Below are 20,235 nucleotides of genomic sequence, written 5' to 3'. Positions count from 1 at the left end.
TTACATTTAAAAAATTTCAATTTCAATAACATGAGAACTCCAAATTTGACTTAGTTCATTCAATAAATAACTATTGAGGATCTAGTATGTCTCAATCTGTAGCTGAATGTATTTTATTTTGTTGCTCAGGTTCTTAATCTATCTTTGTTTTTGACTTTAAGAAACCCAGAAATAATTGAAGCTACATGTTCATGCTTTGATTTTTCCTGGAGTTTTCTGAAAAACAGCATCTACAAAAAAGTTAGGAAGACCTTCAGACTCCAGTATATTTTATGATCATGTCACTGTAGACTATGTGCTATAGTCTGGTTAAAAGGTTTGAATTTTATCTTTGTCTCATCCCTAGTCTTCCTACATGAAGGTAACATTTCTGAATGAACTCACTAACTCACTTACGTACCATGTCAACCAATCAACCAACCCTTGAAAACTCTGTTTTGAGTTCAAAACTCCCAAAGAAGTTTTGAACTGCTTCAAGTTCTTTTTTTCAACCCAGCCTAATTTACTAACCCATGGAGTCTACCAGATCCAGCTATTGACTCTGACCCTAAGAGAACTAAAATGAAAGGAGACAGAAAAAGTAGCCACGGAGCAGTAACTCCTTCACTGCTGCAGTCCTGTTTCACATCCTCATCAGGGTTTCTTCTACTGAAAAGAGAAGTTAGAAGGGCACTCAATCTTTCATGCCCTGAGGCACGAAGTCTGCACATCAAAGCCACGGTCAAACTTTGAAATTCAAGACAGACAGGAGGATTAGAGAACAGATATTTTATTTTCCAATTTTTTTTCTGCAACAAGCTACTTAAACTTTAAACTAAGAGAATGTCTTAAAATGCTTGCTTGTATGTTTTTTTTATGTTTCCCTCAGCTTCAGTGTAAATGACCCAGGTCAGCAGTAAATCCTGTTGATGTCTAAGCATCACTGAGGAGTATTCAATTCAAGAATTACTGTTTTTAGAAGAACTCAAACGTATAGTCTAAAAATATTTTACTATCTCTCCAGTGACTTCTCTCATTGTCTTTCTTTTTAGAAATTAAGTGGTGTGGTATGAACTAGAGCTATAGTTACTAACAGGTATTTCAGTGATGACAAGGTTAAATCCTAATCTAAGCTGATAGTCCTTGCCCTGTCAGTCACTCCATTGTACTTCCCTTTTTTTCTTATGACCAGCCTGGACTGGACAGAGAAATGGAGTTGTTGGACAAGGTGAATCACTTAATATCTTTGTTCATTACTTTCTTGTCCACAGATGTTTTAATTTTTCAAATAAATAAAGTATTAGAAAATATATTTGAAATTCCCCCCTGTAACTTACCCAAACCCCATTCTTTTCCCACCATGACCAGAAGTAAATTATTACTCTGAATCTGGTATTTATCTTCTCATGCATGTTTTTTAAACTTATATATTTGTAAGCATCCAACATTGTTTCATGTTTTAAATTATTATGTAAATTATCATAACTATCCTGCAGCTTGTTTTTATTGCCTAACATTGTTTTAAGATTTATCACTCTTGATACAAGAACGTCTAAAAATTTTATTTTAGTGTCCGTTTTGCAACTATATAACCTACACAATATACCTGTTATTCTTTTAGTAGAGTAATTGCTTTTAATCATTCACTCTTACAAATAATGCTGCAATAAATGTTTGCGGCATGTCGCCTTAGGTTGAAAATCCTGAATAGAAGGGTCTACACATCATCTGTGTCAGATAGTCTAGCCTCAGAAAGTTTTCTAATTAGATTAGAAATAGATTAGGGCAATTTACATATCTATTAGCAGTGTATGATAGTTCCTCTTTCTCCATATCATTTTCCAACTTTCGCTGATATCAGTCTTTTTAATTTTTGCCACTCTGAGGTGTGTGAAATGTTATCTCTTTGTTTTAATTTCCTGCTCATGGAGATTAATGATTTTTTCTTATGTTTTTTGGTCAATCAGCTTTCCTTTTCTTAGAATTGTTAAATTCTTTTGCCTGTTTTGGGGTTCTTTTTCCATCTTCTCCTGCTAATTTGTAACACAATCTTTGTCATATACCATATTCCCATTGTCATTTTTTAAAATTGTGTCCTGGACTTTCCTCTAGATTCACCTTTTTTCTTGCTGAAATCTATCTATTAACAGTTCTTTAACTCAGAGCTATAGGTGTTAAGTTCTCTAGGGTTTGTATATTAGAAGATTTCTTTATTTTATCTTTATTCTTAATGTGGTTTATTCTTGATGTATCTGGGTATAAAATTCTAGGTAGACAGGTATTTTCCTCAGTACTTTGAAGATGTTGTTTTTTTGTTTTCTTTCACCAGTTATTGCAGAAGGGAAGACTTCTGTCAGTAGAATAGTCATTCCTTTGTAGATACTTCGCTTTTTTTCTCTTGTACCTTTCAAGCTTATTTATCTATTTTCATTCAGCCTTAGTAATCTGATGATATATAATAACAATAATATAGCATTATATATTTAGGCGTAGTTTTAGTTTTGAATTACTCTATTAGGTACTTAGTTGGAATGCTCTGTCAGTCTGTGAATTCATGTCATTTTTCAAGTCTTGGAAATTCTCATAATCATCTCTCCAAATATTGTGCCCACCATTCCCTCCTTCTTTTTCATGAATTCTTAAGCCTTCTTAGCTAGAGCCTCTCCCACTTCCATGCCTGTGAATTGCCTCACTGTGCTATATTATGAGGCAAATTGCATGGTATTATCTTCCAATTTACTAGCTCTTTATAACTTTTATCAGTATAGAATTTGTCCTATCTACTGAAGCTTTTCAATTAGTAAACTTTAAATTTAATCAATCAAATTAATTTTACCTAGTTTGATGCATTAAATTTTAAATTAATTTAAATAATTATGTTTTCATTTATAAAAATTTTAATTTATTCATGTTTATTCTATATGTTTTTATTTTATTTCTGCAAATTTTTTTTGAGATAGGGTCACATCATGTTGTCCAGCCTTGATTTGAACTCCTGGAATCAAGGGATCCTCCTGCCTCAGCCTCCTGATTAGGTGGAACTGTAGGCACAGCACTGCACTATTTCTGCCAATTTTTTTTCCCACTAATTCCCTGGTTTCAAAAACTGGAGGTGGTTCTTACATTTATGTCCTTGAACATTATAAACATAATTAAATTTTTGTTAAATTGCTATTTAAAATATAATCTGAACTGTTATCGTTGTTTTGATATCTATCTTTTTTAGCATAAGTTCTTCATGTGTTTTGAGACACAGGCTCTGGGCTCATTTGATGCTTTTTCATCTCCCCATTTCTCTCTTATTATGCCTTGCTTTTAAAAATAATTAAGCCATTGCATCCTCTCAGCCCACCAAAGCACCCAGTCTACAGCAAGACATATGACATTATTTTGCCATTCTTAATATTGTGGATGATATAGTGGTTATCACTATAGATTCATTCACTGAGTCAGAGAGTAACTAGCCTTGGACCTCGGTAGTAAGATGAATATGTGTCTCCTGCATCCTCAGGTCTTTATGTATGTTTTTGTTTGTTTGTTTGTTTGTTTGTTTGTCAAACAGGAAGAATCTTTGCTGTAAGCAGAGAGGCTGGCTCTGTGCCCTGTCTAGCGTGGAGCATTTCAGTCCTTCTGACTATATTGGGGCCCAGACTCAATAGTGTCTTTTCCAGACCCAGAGCACAGAGGGCCCATTACTTCAGCCCATTTCCCTGCTTTGAGTTTTTATCTTGTTTCTGGTTCTTAGAGAACTATTGTGGCTTTGTGTCTGGAAATGTGCTTCTGCTTTTCTTTTTGCTTTGTGGTAGGAGCAAAAAGTGGATGACAAGAAGAATGGACTGCATATTTTGACAAGAAATCCTAGCATAAGTTCCTAGTTTTTTCTTTAATAAAAAATGACATTTAGTGTGATCATTTTTTCCCTCATTAGGTGTCTCATATAATGAAAACTCATGTTCAAATTGAACAATATTTTATGCCCCTTAATTATCTTTGAATCATTCAAGAGAGATCATGAATAGGAAAGTTTTGAAAGTTCTGGATGTGACTATCTCGGAGAAGAGACAAGAAATACAAACAAATGTGGAGCACATATTGTTTAAAGAAAACAAAAGTAGCTATGTATTACTTATTAAATGCTAACTGCTGAGTTGCTTCTTTCTGAGATTGCTCTGTTTAGCTGGACTAAAGAATACAAACTAAAGAAGCAATTGTGTTCATGTTCAGTAACCTCTGATGTGACCAGCTGAAGAATGTGTCTCTTCTGGCACAGTTCTCTTGAGGGAGAGGATCTGGGATTAGACCCTCACTTCTGATGGCAGGCACAGGGAAAAGAGACTGGACTGAGGCCAGAGCTGCTGTTTGGTGCATAGATGATCATTTGAGACCTGACCTGGCATCTCAGCTACATCAAAGCAGGCCAGCGAGGTAGGTCTGGCAACACCAGCTGCCCACAGTCCAAGTGAGGTGGTGACCATCACATCCAGTACCTTAGTTCAAGTTCTCATCATTTCTTTCCTCGAACATTTCAACAACTTTCTAAATTATTCTCCCTGCCTCCATTCTCACCTTAATATTCTTATTCATTTCTGCTCAAAATTTCAATGTCTGTACGGTACTTGATATTCTCACTTTAGTCAGAATCTTTGTCCTAAACCAGTCACCTCCTTCTCACTGATATTTCCCTGCCCAATCTGTCTCAATCTCCTTCACTTCTGACACCTTGAGTAACTTTCTATTTAATGCCATTGATACTTCTTATCTTGATTGATCCTATACTGCATGCTTTGTTAAGGCGCTTACTTTATATTATTTTATAATGCCCCCACCAAGTAGGCACTCTAATTATCCCAATATTACATATTATAATGATACGACAGATCAAGTGAGCAAACTACAGTCCACAAGGCCAAATCTGCCCTGCCACCTGTTTTTGTTTGACTTTTGAGCTAAGAAAGGCTTTTACATTTTTAGATGTTGTGCCTAAACAAAAGAATAGTATTTCATGGCACGTGAAAATTGTATAAAAAAATAAAATTTTGGTGTCTATAAAGTTTAATTATAATATAGCCATTATCATTTGTTTATGTATTGTGTGTGGCTGCTGTTGTTTACAACGGCAGAGTTGTGTAGTTGCAATATAGTCTGTATGGCCCTCAAAGCATAACACACTTATTATCTAAGCCTTCATAGAAAAAGTTTGCTAACCCCTAGAATGAATTGTAGATTTGAAAACTAAGATTTAGAGAAAGTAATCATCTGCCTAAGGCTATACATATGATTGAACTACTACCCCAAATACTTGCTTGATAATTTTTCTATTCCAATGCAGGATTCAGGATCTCTTGGCTTGCAGCTTTGCTACAAGAGAGAGCTTTCTCCATTCAAATCCTATTATGTAATTTCTCCCTCATCACTTATAGGTTAAAGTCTAAATTCCTCTGCAAGGTACTTAAAGTTCTTCAACATTTCTAGCCACCTTTCTTGTTATTTTCTGGAACAGCTAACACTTGCCATCTTAACTTTCTGCAGTCATCAAGTGTGCCATGCTATGTATGCCTCCATTATTTGCATATACGATTCCATTTGACTCTGTAACACTTTCCTTTCTTCATTCTTGTGGCAAATTTTCCTTTATTTTTCAATGATTGTTTCTTCTGTGCTGCCTTCCCAGTGCTCCCTAGGAAGGCAAGGCAGTCTCTTTCACATAATTCTTTCACAGTGTCAGAGGCATTTGAACAGGGCAACCCCATCATGAATAGGGACTGGGTAAAATAAGGCTGAGACCTACTGGGGTGGACCTTGGTGATAAAACAGGCTTCAGTAAAGAAGCTGGCCAAACCCCACCAAAACCAAGATGGCTATGAGACTGACCTCTGGTTGTCCTCACTGGCTCACTATACACTAATTATAATACATTAGCATGCTAAGAGACACCCACCAGTGCCATGACAGTTTACAAATGCCATGGCAATGTCAGGAAGTTACTCTATATGGTCTAAAAGGGGCATAAACCCTCAGTTCCGGGAACTGTCCACCCTTTTTGGAAAACTCATGAATAATCCACCCCCTTGTTAAGGATGTAATCAATAGATAAACATAAAAATGGGCAACCAGCAGTCCTTGGGCTGCTCTGCTTATGGAGTAGCCATTCTTTCATTCCTTTACTTTCTTAATGAACTTGCTTTTGCTTTGCGGTGTGCACTCGCCCTGAATTCTTTCTTGCGTGAGATCCAAGCACCCTCTTGGGGGTCTGGATTGTGACCCCTTTCTGGTTACAATAGCAGTTATCATATTATTTGTAATGGTTTTTATTTGTCTCTTCCACTATAGTATAACATCTTTGATTATGAGTATTTTTATCTATCTTTATTTCTTTGGTACCTAGGACATGGCACAGAGAATGTACCTGATAACTAAAATAAAAATTCATGAATTATTTTTATTTAGAATAGGACTGTATAGAATATTATATTTGTAGAGTGTCTCTATGTGTATTCTTTAATGTGTACAGCCACTATCTGTAGAACTTCACTGACACATGACACAGCTGTGTGTATGTGACATTTCCTCAATTTCCAAGGAACTGATTCCAGGCATCCTTTTACGTGCTGAGAAACTACCCCTTCCCTCTGAAGGGCAGGCAATATACTGAAGGTTCTCAATCAATTAAATATTAATGACATGTCACAGCCTAAGGGTTGTGAAATTCTTTTGAACTGGCCAAATGACTCTGCTGTGCCAAATTTATTCTTTGCCATGTTTTTCAGCTTTCTCTAAGAGTGACAGACTCAGAACAACTATAGTGAAATATCAAAGGACTGCCCTGGGGCCAATTGCTTTGTCATTGCTTATTTCATCAAGACAAGCATCTAACACACAATAAATGACTGCTATAAAGGTACTCTTTTATTCTCAGGAGAAATATGTCAACTCTGTGAGCAGATACTACAAATGTTTTCCAAACTTGTTTAAAAAGCTTTCAGTTAGAAAAATAAAGATGGCAAAAACACATCATTAACTGACAGATAATGTTAGTTTCAGAGCTCAAAATTTATCTTAGTCATCATGTACTTCAATTCCCTCTTTTATGAAGGTGGAAGCTGAAACCCAAATGTCACCAAATGCCAGCTCATGCCTAATGTCACAGAAATATTTGTGCACTAATTCCCACTTCTGATATTCCCAACCTATTATTGCCCCTCAAATTTGGGATAATGTAATTGAACCTTTAAAAATGAGGTACAAGATAATATTTAATAGACCATCATGAATTAATTTTACTCTTTGGAAATCAATACGTGTTTTCTCTTCCCCTTAAGATGTAGAAAGCCCCAGGACAACATCACTTCTTCTCCACCTCAACAAGGAAAAGCCACATAATTCACGAAATCATAACTATTCTTGAGGTTACAGGAGAGGTGAGGTAGCAAGTGAACCAAGTGATGTGAATTCGAAGGAGTGACCAGCCCCTCTGGAGAGAGGCGACACACTATTTCACCTTTGGCAAAGCACAGCAGGAAGAGGATACAACATCGAAGCAGATAAGAAGAAAGCAGCTCCGAGTTTAATGGATTCATAAAGGCTGAGTATGGTCTAAATGGATGCAAAGAATTGCTCTGTCCAATATGGTAGCTATTAGCTACATAGAGCTATTTAAATCAAATTTTAAATGAACTAAAACTAATTAAAATTAAAAATTAGTGACTACTATGTTGGACAATATGGACATAGAACATTTCCATCATCCCAAAGTTCTAGGTCACCACTGGTCTAGACTAACTGGGAGACACAGACACAAACAGAGTCTACTGTCTCTCTCTAGCTTTCCCCTTGGGCCTCTACCCCATGCTCATGAGGACTACCAGAGGCAGGATAGGGGACTAGAGAGAGCCTCCCTCTGGGGGGCTGGGGATGGGGGTATGGGGGTGACAGGTGTGCAGATGATAATTGAAACCACTAAGAGGACAGCAAGAAAACTTACTTCCCTGGACCTTTCCTGAATACAAAGGAGAAGCCTTAATGTATTGTGGAGGGGCAGAAAAATCTTTCCTTTCTAGTTCTCAGGAAAATATCCCTTCTTTTGAAGGATGAATAGAAACAAAAGACGCCTGTTCCTGGGAGAGGAGCAGAAACTCTTTTGGGACCAGAGTCCTGCACTAATACAAAGTAGAGTATCAGTGGTTCTGCTACCACTGGAGAAGAGGCAGGAATCTCTCTGACCCATGGATTTAATGTAGAATTTCAGTGTCGGTGTAGTTTGAGGGGTAAAAATGTCAAGAATGTCCCATCTAACATCACAGGGTCTGCCTAAGCCTGAGGCTGGACCACGAGAACGAAGAACATCCTCTGTCCCCACCAAAAAGTTAGCAATGAGTGAAAAGCAACAGCAGTCTATTGCTGGGGGAGCTCTTCTGTGGTGCCGGTGTTCAGGGCTTGCTGCATACTGAGGGTGAAACTGAAACACTGAGAAATACCCACTACCACTCCTGGCAGCCTATCATGGGAAGAACTGGAAATCTGTGATGAACGAAAGGTGTCTAATACCTTAAACCCAGCTCAACTATTGACTAGATCGACTCACTCCCTGTTCTACCTGACAGCCTAACAATATGGTAAATTCAAATTCAACCATAGAAATAATTGTATTATATTATAATAATAAATATTAATAATTACATATATATTGTCTAAACCTGCACTATTTAAATTGGTAGCAACTAGCTACATATGGCTATTGAGCGATTAAAATTAGGCTAGTGCAACTTTATTTCTATTTAAATTTATGTATGAAAGTAAAAAATGTGTAAATATGTATATTGATTATATGTTGAAATAATATTTTGAATATAATGGATTAAGTAAACCATGATATTAAAATTAATTTCACCTTTTTAAAAAGCATTTTAATGTGTCTACCAGAAAATCTACTATTACATATAAGGTTAACATTCTCTTTTTATTGGATAGTGCTGTCCTAAATACTCCAGTTAAAAGACAAAGATTTTTAGATTGGAAAAAAAAAGCAAGACTCAACTCTATGCTGTCTGCAGGAAACCCTTTTACACGTAAAGACAGAAGTAGGCTGAAAGCAAAAGGGTGGATTAGGTATGCCACACAAACACTTAAAAAAGAAAACTATGGCTATTTTAATATCAGGCAAAAGGGAAATTAACACAAGGCATATTGCTTGGAATATAGAGGGACATTACATATAGTCAAAAGGGTCAGTTTATCAAGAAGACATAGCAATCTTGAAAGCTTTTGCACCTAATAACAACAGAGCTTCAAAATATGTAAAGCATAAACCAAAATAAGTGAAAGGAGAAATAGACAAATTTACAGTTACAAGTGGAGACTTTCAGATTCCTCTATCAGTCATTATTAGAACAAATAGACAGAAAATCAGTAAGGACATAGAAGACTTGAACAATCAACGTGACCTGGTCGGTACTTATTGAAACTTCACCCTGGAAGTGCTCACAGAATACACAGCAAGAAAGACCATATTTGGACCCATAAAACAAATCTCAACAATTTTCAAGTAAAAGAAATCATATAAAATATGTTCTCTGATCACAACAACACTTCCTCAAGGAATCAGTGAAAAAAGATGTCTGCAAAATTTCCAAATTTTTGGATATTCAACACACTTGTAAGCCCTACAGGTCAAAGAAAAACATCACAAAGGAAAATAGAATATATTTTGAATGGAACTCATTGCAAATGCTAAGTGATATTCTAGAAATTTTTTAGCATTGCTTACCTATCAAATTTCTTCATGAACAGTTAGCTAAAGGGCTGAATCATTCAGCTGCAACTGATGAGGAATGGCTGAGTGCATGCTCATAAATGTTGGATCAGCGACCGTCATTACAGTCCTAAATCTATTTTTCTTTGTGCCTTAATTTTTCCCCCCGGGTCTCTCCTATTACTTGCTCAACTAAATTGTACTAATATTTATGGATCATCTATTAAGCAAGCATAAGGCTTGGGCTAGGTGTTTATGAAATTATGAAGATAAGTAAGACAGAGCTTTTGATATTAAGGAGTTTGTATTGTAGGCGTTATGTGCCTATATCTGCTGCCTAAATCTGACTTGCAATTCATCTTTTTCTAGAGCTTGTTTAAGACAGTATTTTACCAGGTAAGTTCTCCCTTTAATTCAACTAGTAGATCTGTTCATTATGTCTATAAACTTTGAAGGTCTTGGGTCTATGCCATTCCTAATTTTTAGGACTCACTACTGATCCTGGGATTGTGCCAATGGAGACTTTAATTAATTTTTGAGAGATGTGTTAAAAATATGTCCTCTAGCTTGGTTCTGAGTTTTTGCTTCTTGTAGTTTCTGCTTCCTTTTATCCCAACAGATAATATCACTGTCTTTCCACGTATTTATCACCAGAACAATCACACATAGATGGCATTTAACAAATTGCAGCTGTTGCAAAACTTACACTAAAGAACACAAGCAAAAGGGACTTTGCTGAGCCATTATATTGTGCTAGTGATAAACTCTACTGTCTTACAGATATCAGTTTTTCTTCCACATGTCAACATAGACAGTAGAGTCACATCTTAATTTGAGATTAGATATTAAAGTCAGTGAGTAAAGTGAAAAAAAATCACATGGAGTTAAAAGTATTCCTAAAAATTTCCCAATGTCAGCCTTAACTCTTTATGACATGGACTAATGAAGGTTAAAATGCCAGTAATTTTTTTTCTTGGCATTTTTTCTTAAGAAGTAGAAGGCAAAGCTATTTTGAAGATGAGGTGGGGAATAACAATTGATAAATAAATATATCTTTTTCTCTCTCTCAGCCAAAGACCTATACCTGAATTTGAGCAGGTTAAATAGGAGTATCAGTTCATTGTCCCCAAACTGAATTGCTTAATATGAGAATACATGCTCTGGAAAAAAATAAACAAGTTATGATGACATTATTAAGCAACATAGCAGAAAATTACATGGTCCAATCATGAATTTGAAATTGTTACTCAGTCTCAAAATATACTACATCATTGAGGTTTACTTTTTTGGGTTTAAAAATATTTTTGTTATCACAAGGTAAAGAGTAAACATCAAACTTCAGCTGTATTCTTAATATAGCTCATAACTTTGAATCTACGTCACTTGGCATTAAGGCAAGTGATTTTGCCATTCTGGGTGGAGTCTGTCAATTCGAGCCCTACGGGAAGAAACAGGGGAACAATAAGAAGAAACGGGACAATATTACACATGATGCTTACTTGTTAACACAGTGATTGATCTGGATGGCTTGGTCACCACATTTCCATTTACCACTACCAGAGTGATTATATAATAAAGGCCATGATAACTGGCCTTGAAAATAACAGGAGGAGGCAAAGTGCTGTTGAATTCCTCAAATTCGAAGAAATAATTTTTGGATTCACCAGTTATCTTCACAACATACACAGATGCTGGACTGATGACGTCTGAAGCTTCTAATGAGACAACGATGTTATTATCATCTTGGACAGTTACATGGAAAGCTGTAGCATTCTGTTGAATGAAACAGAATAAAAAGAGATGGAGGTTATATTCAGATAATTGGCAATAAAGTTATGCTAAGATAATTTTTACATATTGTTGTGTATCATAAACATTAGTTATGTTTATGGTAAGCCTTATTTCTTAAAATAGAGTTACATAGGTATTTTAGTTACACAAAGAAAATCAGAAAGAGATTATCCTTCTTAGGATTAATAATCTTCTCAGGGTTTTACTTTGAGGATTTTTTTCCACTGAAAATCTGCTTCCAGTTTGTGGACAGTGTCATGTAATAAACAAAATAAACATCCTGTGGAGGAGTAAATAATGAATGAGTCATTTTGACACTCAAGTTCTAGAGAAGTTCTTGGTTTCAACTGTGCTGGCAAAGTTACATGGTTTAAAGAAGTACTCTTTTTACTTTAGAGGGAGTGATGCTAGCAGAATATATCAAGGCAGTTATTTCGTCTATTTCCTCTCATCTGCTAGCTCTGAAAATTATAAAAAGGTCAGGATTGAGAAACTGGTGTTGATCCTTGTCATTAAAGATTAACCAGCATAATCTCTTAAAGATGAAGGAAGCTATGCTAGTGAGGAAGAGACCAGATGGAGGATCTGCTGGTGTCTAGGGGATCAGCGGTTGATGGACTTTTTAAAAACTTTGCTCCAAGTCTCCAAATATGTATTTATGGACAATACCTGAAAAGTCATCCATGGAATTGGTTTAAATATTCCTCCCTGATTCTGTCTCAGACTCCATAGGCAGAATTAATCTTTCTTTCTGGTCTCAAACAAGACTCATGTACTTTGTACCATGTGCTTGGGTTTAATTTATCTTCTAGGTATGTAGTGTCCCGGGTGAGTAAGTTATTCACTGCACTGAGCCTCAAATTTCTTTTCTATAATAGCAGGGTGGAAAAATTGCTGAAACTTGTTAAGAATCTACAGGGATCCAGGCACTATGCCAGGCGCTCCATATATAAAAACATCTCATTTAATGTTGAAAATAACCTCATGAGATACGTATCGTTACTTTTAATCTCACTTTGTAGCTGAGGAAACTGAGGCTCAGAAAGATTAAGTCACTTGCCCATGGTCACCAGTACAAAAAATCAGTCTCATTATTGTTCCACATGTTCATTTGTCTTCATCTCTTAACTTACTGTCCTAACACTGAGTCTGTCATATAACACATAACACATGACTGTTAAGTTTCTGTTACATCAGTGAAGGAATGGCTGATTAAATTGACGATATATGGGCATTTGCCTCTAACAAATTACTCAATTTATTGATTTTGGTTTTATTATTCTTATTTTTAATTGACACATAACAACTTTACATCTTTATGGGGTACCTGTGATATTTTGATACATATATACATTGTGTAATGAGCAAATCAGGGTGATTAACATATCAACCACATCAAACATTTATCATTTCTTTGTGTTGGGAACATTCAAAATCCACTCTTCTAGTTATTTGAAAATACACGATAAAGTGTCAATATAGTCCCCCTATAGTACTATAGAGCATTAGAACGTATTCCTCCTGGCTAGGTATACTTTTGCATCCCTTAACAAGCCTTTGGCTGTCCCCCTCTCTCTCCCTTCCTTGGCTCTAGTAACGACATCTGCTAGAGCAACTTGCAAGTTTTTTTTAGCATTGTGAGTAAAAACGTGGTATTTATCTTCTAGTGCTTGGGTTATTTCACTTGATATAATGTCCTTCAGGTTCATCTATGTGGTTGCAAATGACAGAATTACCTTTTTATTTTAAGGCTGAATGATATTCCACACACACACATATATATATATACACACACACACACACACACACACCATATTTTCTTTATCCATTCACCCTCTGCTGGACACTTAAGTTGATTCTGTATCTTGCCTCCTGTGAAGAGTACTGCAATAGACATGGGAGTGCAGAGAAATCGTCAACATACTGATTTCCTTTCCTTTGGATAGATACCCAGTCGTGGGATTGCTGGATCATATGGTAGTTCTATTTTTAGGTTTTTGAGGAACCTCCATACTGTTTTCCATAATGGCTGAACTAATTTACATTTCCACCAACAGTTTAACTTATTGATTTTTGTTTCTCACATATTTTCAGCAACCAAAGCACACAATACACATCACTACTCTCCAAGAGGTTTTATAGACTGAAAAATGTACTGACTTTTTCTTGTTATTTTATTTTTCAGAAATCCAGTTTTTACAGGCCCTAGTACTTATAAAGAATGTCTGGCATAAACAAATTTAATTCTGTCTTAACATTGAATAGACTAAATTGTGTTCCTAATATTCTTATCATACTAGACCATAAGTACTCTAAGGTCGGGAACTGCATGTTATTTCCAGCTGCACTTCCAGCTCTAGGATCAGTACCTGGCATATGCTAAGTGCTTTTCATGTGGTTGATCCTAGGCAGATTTCTGTAATATGAGATAGGCATTGAGAATGAACTTTTAAAACATCCCTTTATTGGACTATGTCATGTAATAAACAAAATAAACATCTTGTGAAGGAGTCAATTAATGAATGAAAGTCATTTTGACACTTAAGTTCTAGGGAAGTTCTTGGTTTCAGCTATGTGGTGAAATTACATGTTTTGAAAAAATACGAGGGAGTGAGGCTGTGGCCTCCTAGGAAAATTCTAGGAGAATGTATCAAGGCAGTTATTCCAGACACATGGGCAGGTTTCTAACATTGAGCAATGTACTTCTGGGATCAAACACAAAATATGAACCATGCTATATTGCCAGTGGTCCACGTGGAATTGTGAGGCTAGCATAAAGTTCATAAGAGCATTTCATTGTTTGGGCAAGAAGGATAAAACACAAGAAAACAGAAAAAGAACAGAAAAGGTATTTAATGTGCTGCCTATACATGGAGCTTAACAAATACTAGCTCCTTCCCTTATCCATTACTCTTTTCTTTCTTTTGAATTATGCTTCTGCAAGTTCTGCTTCAGTTATGGCCATGCAAGTTCCTCTCTGACTGTTTCTCCAGCAAATAACCATATACTCTGGACAAATTACCAAATAAACAACTGACTAAAGACTGAATCATGAACAAAGCAGAGAGATTTTGGAGGGCAGTTGACACTTGACAGAATTGGCACAGAATGAGTTATTTTTATGTCTATCTATCTATCTGTCTGTCTCTCTGTCTGTGTGTGTGTCTGTCCGTCCGTCCGTCCATCCATGCATCCATCCATCCATCCATCCATCCATCCATCCATCCATCCATCTTCTACATCAGCTTATAGCCAGAGGGCAGATGCTTCAGTCAGTGTGAGATAGCTGAAACTCTGACAAAATCTCAGTCTTTCTGGCCTGAGGCAAAAGATGAGAGAATCTTGGCAACCACTGCTAATGGAAAGTGAGTAGGTAATCCTGAAAAGGAGGGGGTCCTAAAGTCTGTCCAAACCTCAGGCTGATTCCTGAGCCATGCATGGGGAGGTCAGGCTGCAGGTAGCCCAGCCAAAGCTAAAAGAATTGTCCTAAGGTTCAAGCTGCCACCCACGAGAAAGCATGTGTAGGTTCCATCCAACCAAGTGAATTTCTTGCTAAGACAAAAATATTAGTTTAATCCTGAAACATAAATATTACAGCCTTTATAACATAATACTCACAATATTCAAGAAATAGTCCAAAATTAGTCAATATACAAATATCCAAGAAAATGTGACTAATTTTCAAGAGAAAATCCAGGTTTTGGATGTAGCCAAGTACTTTAAATCAGGTATTATTACTATACTTAATAAACTAAAAGTATGCTCATAATGAATGAAAGGGTAAAAATTCTCACCAGAGAAATAGAAACAACAAAACAAGTAATTCTAGAACTGAACATAGTTCTGTGTTATTCAAAGGCCTTTTTTAAAAAAAATCAAGAGAATCCTTGCAATATAGGCATATTTGGTTTCATCCTCAGTCATTTAGTCCTAGCCAATGTCCTAAAGAATGCAGCCCACACAACCGAAAGGAATTTAAAAATATCTAGGGCTCAAGTAGTGTGCCGCCTGCACACCAAGACTGAGGGAAGACCCCTTGGCTCATGGGTGCCTGGTCTTTCCGCACATTCAGCTACAGTGAACAGGACTGTGGTGATCCTCATACTCATCTGAAGAGGAGAACAGTGCAGGGCTAGGCTTCTGCATCAGGGTGAGACCAGCGCCAGATGTGCCCTACCTCCCTGCCTCCTGAAATCTTCCTCTCTGCTACTCAGTACTGATGGCATCACTCATCAAGACCAGTGTATTCTGCTACTGTCTTGTACCTGTGCTGGGGGAGAGAAATCTGCTCCTATCTGAGCAAGAACTTGGAGAACTTCCCTTCTAGGTTCCTTTTAGGAGAGCAAATGCTCTGACTTAGATGAAGAGATGAGATGGGCTTTGCCCCACCTACAACCTCCTCTCCCCTCCCTTCTCTTTGAAGAAAAGATCAAGAAACCTAGTGTCTCCAGTGGAGGTGAGGGAGGCTCTCTATGAAATAGTGGGGAGCAGAACACATAAAAGGAAAAAGTCATTGTTCACATGGGAGCAATTGAAACACAGGCTGCCGTCTGTCCAGCTGGCTGATTACAGATTAATGAAGGGCAGACCCCCTCCCCTGCTGGCTGAGGTGCTATCAATTCTCCCCTTCTTCCTCAGTTAACCCCAGAGCTTCCAATTCCATGTTGGGGTTTGAGTGCCCCTCTAGAGGAAGGGCTTGTTCTATAGTCAAATTGATTCCCAGGGGCTCTTTCTAAGGAAGCAAAAAGGGGCTGGGGATGATAGTATCTGACGGTTAAGGTAGCAACAGATGCCTTCTTCCCCTTCATAAACAATTTTTTATTCTTCATCCTCACCGTCTCAGGCTTTACATATGAAATCCCTAGAATAGAGGGGTTGGGGATCTTCTGTTCCTCCCTGGAGTCTTTCCGCACATTCAGTGCGGTGAAGGTGAAGGTGAAGAGTGAAGATGAGAAGAGTATGTATTTTAAAAAATTAAATTTAATGGCCGGGCCTGGTGGCTCACGCCTGTAATCCCACCACTTTGGGAGGCCGAGGCGGGCGGATCACGAGATCAGGAGATTGAGACCATCCTGGCTAACACAGTGAAACCCTGTCTCTACTAAAAATACAAAAAATTACCCGGGCGTGGTGGCGGGCACCTGTAGTCCCAGCTACTCGGGAAGCTGAGGCAGGAGAATGGGGTGAACCTGGGAGGTGGAGCTTGCAGTGAGCCGATATCGCGCCACTGCACTCCAGCCTGGGCGACAGAGAGAGACTCTGTCTCAAAGAAAAAAAAAATTAATTTAATAATAGGCTACTCTAACCTCCTTTTGCCTGTGGTTGTGACCTGTGCCTGTTGGCCCTTTTCTGCCAATAGGGTAAACAGAACTCTCTAACTGCTTCTTCTCCCTTCCCCATACCCAAATTAAACACACATGCGCAAAGGTTTGTAATCCTTAAAAAGAAAAATTGATCTTAGATTGTTACCTGTATAACATAAATTGGGATTAACACTAATGCACATTAAGACCTGACTAAGCCAGGCTCATTCATCTGTAGAATATTTTTAAAGAGAGTTGACATTTTTCAACCACAGCATTTCATAAGCTAGGATTTGAAGTTAATAGACTTCTATTAGTAATTGAAGCAATTGTCAGTATCCTTAATATGACTAGAAAGGTCTAGGTTGCTATCATAGATGCTTGATCTCTTTTCCCTTACTATACTTTCTGTTAAAACCTATTGGCTGGTGATCACAGACATTCTAGCCTCCTGCACCAAATCTAGAAGTATTGCATTGTTAATGGTTCATGGCCCTATGTGCAGTCTGCTCTTGTACCCATACCCTCCAACTTTGCTTTGTCAGTGTCCCAAGGGGGTGTCGAATCAATAGTGGGTGTGAAAAATGAATTGAGAATGTAGGGAACAATTTTCTTGGCCATCAGAAACACAGAGCAGCTGAGTCATGGTTGTCCCCTGCTTGGTGGAGCAGGGCAGTGCCAGCAGTCCAAGAGCAAGCCCTGGGCAATGTGCCAGGTGAGGAACATTTGTTGATGAGTGTATAGTGTGGTGGTGGGTCACAGCTGTGCAAGAGATACCCATGCACCCAGAGGTTCCAGGCCTCAAAGGTAGATGGGATGCCCTCTCATCCCTCTGATGGTGCCATGGAGGATATCAGCACAATGTGTGCTTATGATGGACAGACCCAAAGTGCAGCGGGAGCACTTGACTGTCTAGTGAAGTCATCAGCCCCTGTCCTGGTGGGCTGCTTTGCCCAAGGGTGCTCCTGTTCTTGCCACTTTGTCCCGACTCACGCTCTGAAGGCTAACTCCTGCTCCTCCTTAATGCCCCCATACCCTTGCTGCTACAGCTAACCCAGTGGGGTTGGATCCTGTCTTTACTAGGGGCACTAATTCTTCCTCTACCATCATCAGCTTACTTTAGTGTGGGGAATACAATGCATTTTTTTTTAATTATACTTTAAGTTTTAGGGTACATGTGCACATTGTGCAGGTTAGTTACATATGTATACATGTGCCATGCTGGTGCGCTGCGCCCACTAACTCATCATCTAGCATTAGGTATATCTCCCAATGCTATCCCTCCCCCCTCCCCCCTCCCCACCACAGTCCCCAGAGTGTGATATTCCCCTTCCTGTGTCCATGTGATCTCATTGTTCAATTCCCACCTATGTGTGAGAATATGCGGTGTTTGGTTTTTTGTTCTTGCGATAGTTTACTGAGAATGATGGTTTCCAATTTCATCCATGTCCCTACAAAGGACATGAACTCATCATTTTTTATGGCTGCATAGTATTCCATGGTGTATATGTGCCACATTTTCTTAATCCAGTCTATCATTGTTGGACATTTGGGTTGGTTCCAAGTCTTTGCTATTGTGAATAATGCTGCAATAAACATACGTGTGCATGTGTCTTTATAGCAGCATGATTTATAGTCCTTTGGGTATATACCCAGTAATGGGATGGCTGGGTCAAATGGTATTTCTAGTTCTAGATCCCTGAGGAATCGCCACACTGACTTCCACAATGGTTGAACTAGTTTACAGTCCCACCAACAGTGTAAAAGTGTTCCTATTTCTCCACATCCTCTCCAGCACCTGTTGTTTCCTGACTTTTTAATGATTGCCATTCTAACTGGTGTGAGATGATATCTCATAGTGCTTTTGATTTGCATTTCTCTGATGGCCAGTGATGATGAGCATTTTTTCATGTGTTTTTTGGCTGCATAAATGTCTTCTTTTGAGAACTGAGACCTAAAACCATAAAAACCCTAGAAGAAAACCTAGGCATTACCATTCAGGACATAGGCGTGGGCAAGGACTTCATGTCCAAAACACCAAAAGCAATGGCAACAAAAGCCAAAATTGACAAATGGGATCTAATTAAACTAAAGAGCTTCTGCACAGCAAAAGAAACTACCATCAGAGTGAACAGGCAACCTACAACATGGGAGAAAATTTTCGCAACCTACTCATCTGACAAAGGGCTAATATCCAGAATCTACAATGAACTCAAACAAATTTACAAGAAAAAAACAAACAACCCCATCAAAAAGTGGGCGAAGGACATGAACAATGCATTTTTTAAGGAAAGCAAAGAGCCCTCCCTCTAGCCTTCCTAAGCAAAACAAAGAGCCCTCCTTCATCTCACGGTGAATGCATTGCCGGGATCAAGCAGGGAACACAAGTAATATGTCGGTTGGCCTCAACATCTCCTGCCTCATCATCTTCCCTTCCTCTTAAGGAAAATTCATCAGCATTGAAATACTTCTTAAATTCTGGCACCACCACCACCACCACAGCAACAACAAATTAGACCCCAATCAACTAGAGCACCCGAGGTCTCCAGCAATACTTCTTAAACTTCTCATTTTTCCCCTATCATAGCGCCCTTCTCTCTTTAAACTTCTCTCTCTGCAAATTTTATCTTTTCTTCTCTTCTATCTTTTTGCTTTCCTTACAATCCTCTGTAGACAGACTTTACAAGAGGGGATCTGGAACAGCTGAGATGTCCTCATTGGATAGAGGAGACTTGGGTACGAGGAAAAGAAAGAGTAATCATACCCATGATAGAAGTTACTAATTGATATTCTCATCTAGTCGATACAAATTAAGAATCTACTAAGAACCACACAGCCTGCTAAGTACTGGGGATCCAAAACACAGTCCTGCCTCCAGAGCTGCAAGTTTGCTGGTGGTCAGTGGCTGTTTATTCATTAAATGCTTAGTGAATGGGGAATCCTGGTTATAAATATGCTTTCAAATTCACCGAGAGCTGATGGAAAATCCTTTTACTTTTAACCTATTGGAAAATTTGCCAAAGTGTGTTTCATTTTTCATGATACATTTTTTATACTAAACGTACTTTAGGACTTATTCGGAATCTCAGAATTTTTGTATCTCAAAGACCTAAAAATAATGATCCTTACTAATAAATCTTACTGTCCACAAATATAAATAGAAATCATATACATATTGTGCTTCATATCTGAAAGTTGCATTTTTAGGAGAAAATATTTATTTATATTTCCTTATTATTCACTTTTCACCTAGATAGTACTGTTTGGTGCATAATGGGAAAGTCTGTTAAGCAAAATGTAGACAAATCAGGCACTGAGTAACCAGTAGCATTGAAATCTGGCTTTTAGTTCTTGTTGATTATAGCAGATGATTCACTAACTCAGAAAACAATAAGTTCATAAGCATCAAATATG

General features: G+C 37.8%; 1 protein-coding gene across 5 annotated transcripts in view; it reads right to left on the bottom strand.

The window, feature by feature from the left end:
- Window positions 1-20,235, bottom strand: part of PTPRO (protein tyrosine phosphatase receptor type O) — a 275,824-nt gene that overhangs the window by 102,858 nt on the left and 152,731 nt on the right. For all 5 annotated transcript variants that reach the window (XR_931316.4, XR_007063106.1, NM_030667.3 and 2 more), the window contains exon 2: window positions 11,227-11,500. Coding sequence is in view for 3 of the 5 variants with exons in the window: in NM_030667.3 (NP_109592.1) it covers window positions 11,227-11,500 (274 nt within the window). In the remaining 2 variants the exon portion in view is untranslated. The remainder of the gene's footprint in view (window positions 1-11,226; window positions 11,501-20,235) is intronic.

The sequence above is a fragment of the Homo sapiens genome, chromosome 12 (genome assembly GCF_000001405.40).
Source record: "Homo sapiens chromosome 12, GRCh38.p14 Primary Assembly".
Classification (NCBI taxonomy): Eukaryota; Metazoa; Chordata; class Mammalia; order Primates; family Hominidae; genus Homo; species Homo sapiens.
The sequence above is the reverse complement of the archived record's forward strand: the minus strand, read 5'-3'. Positions and strand labels throughout refer to the sequence as shown.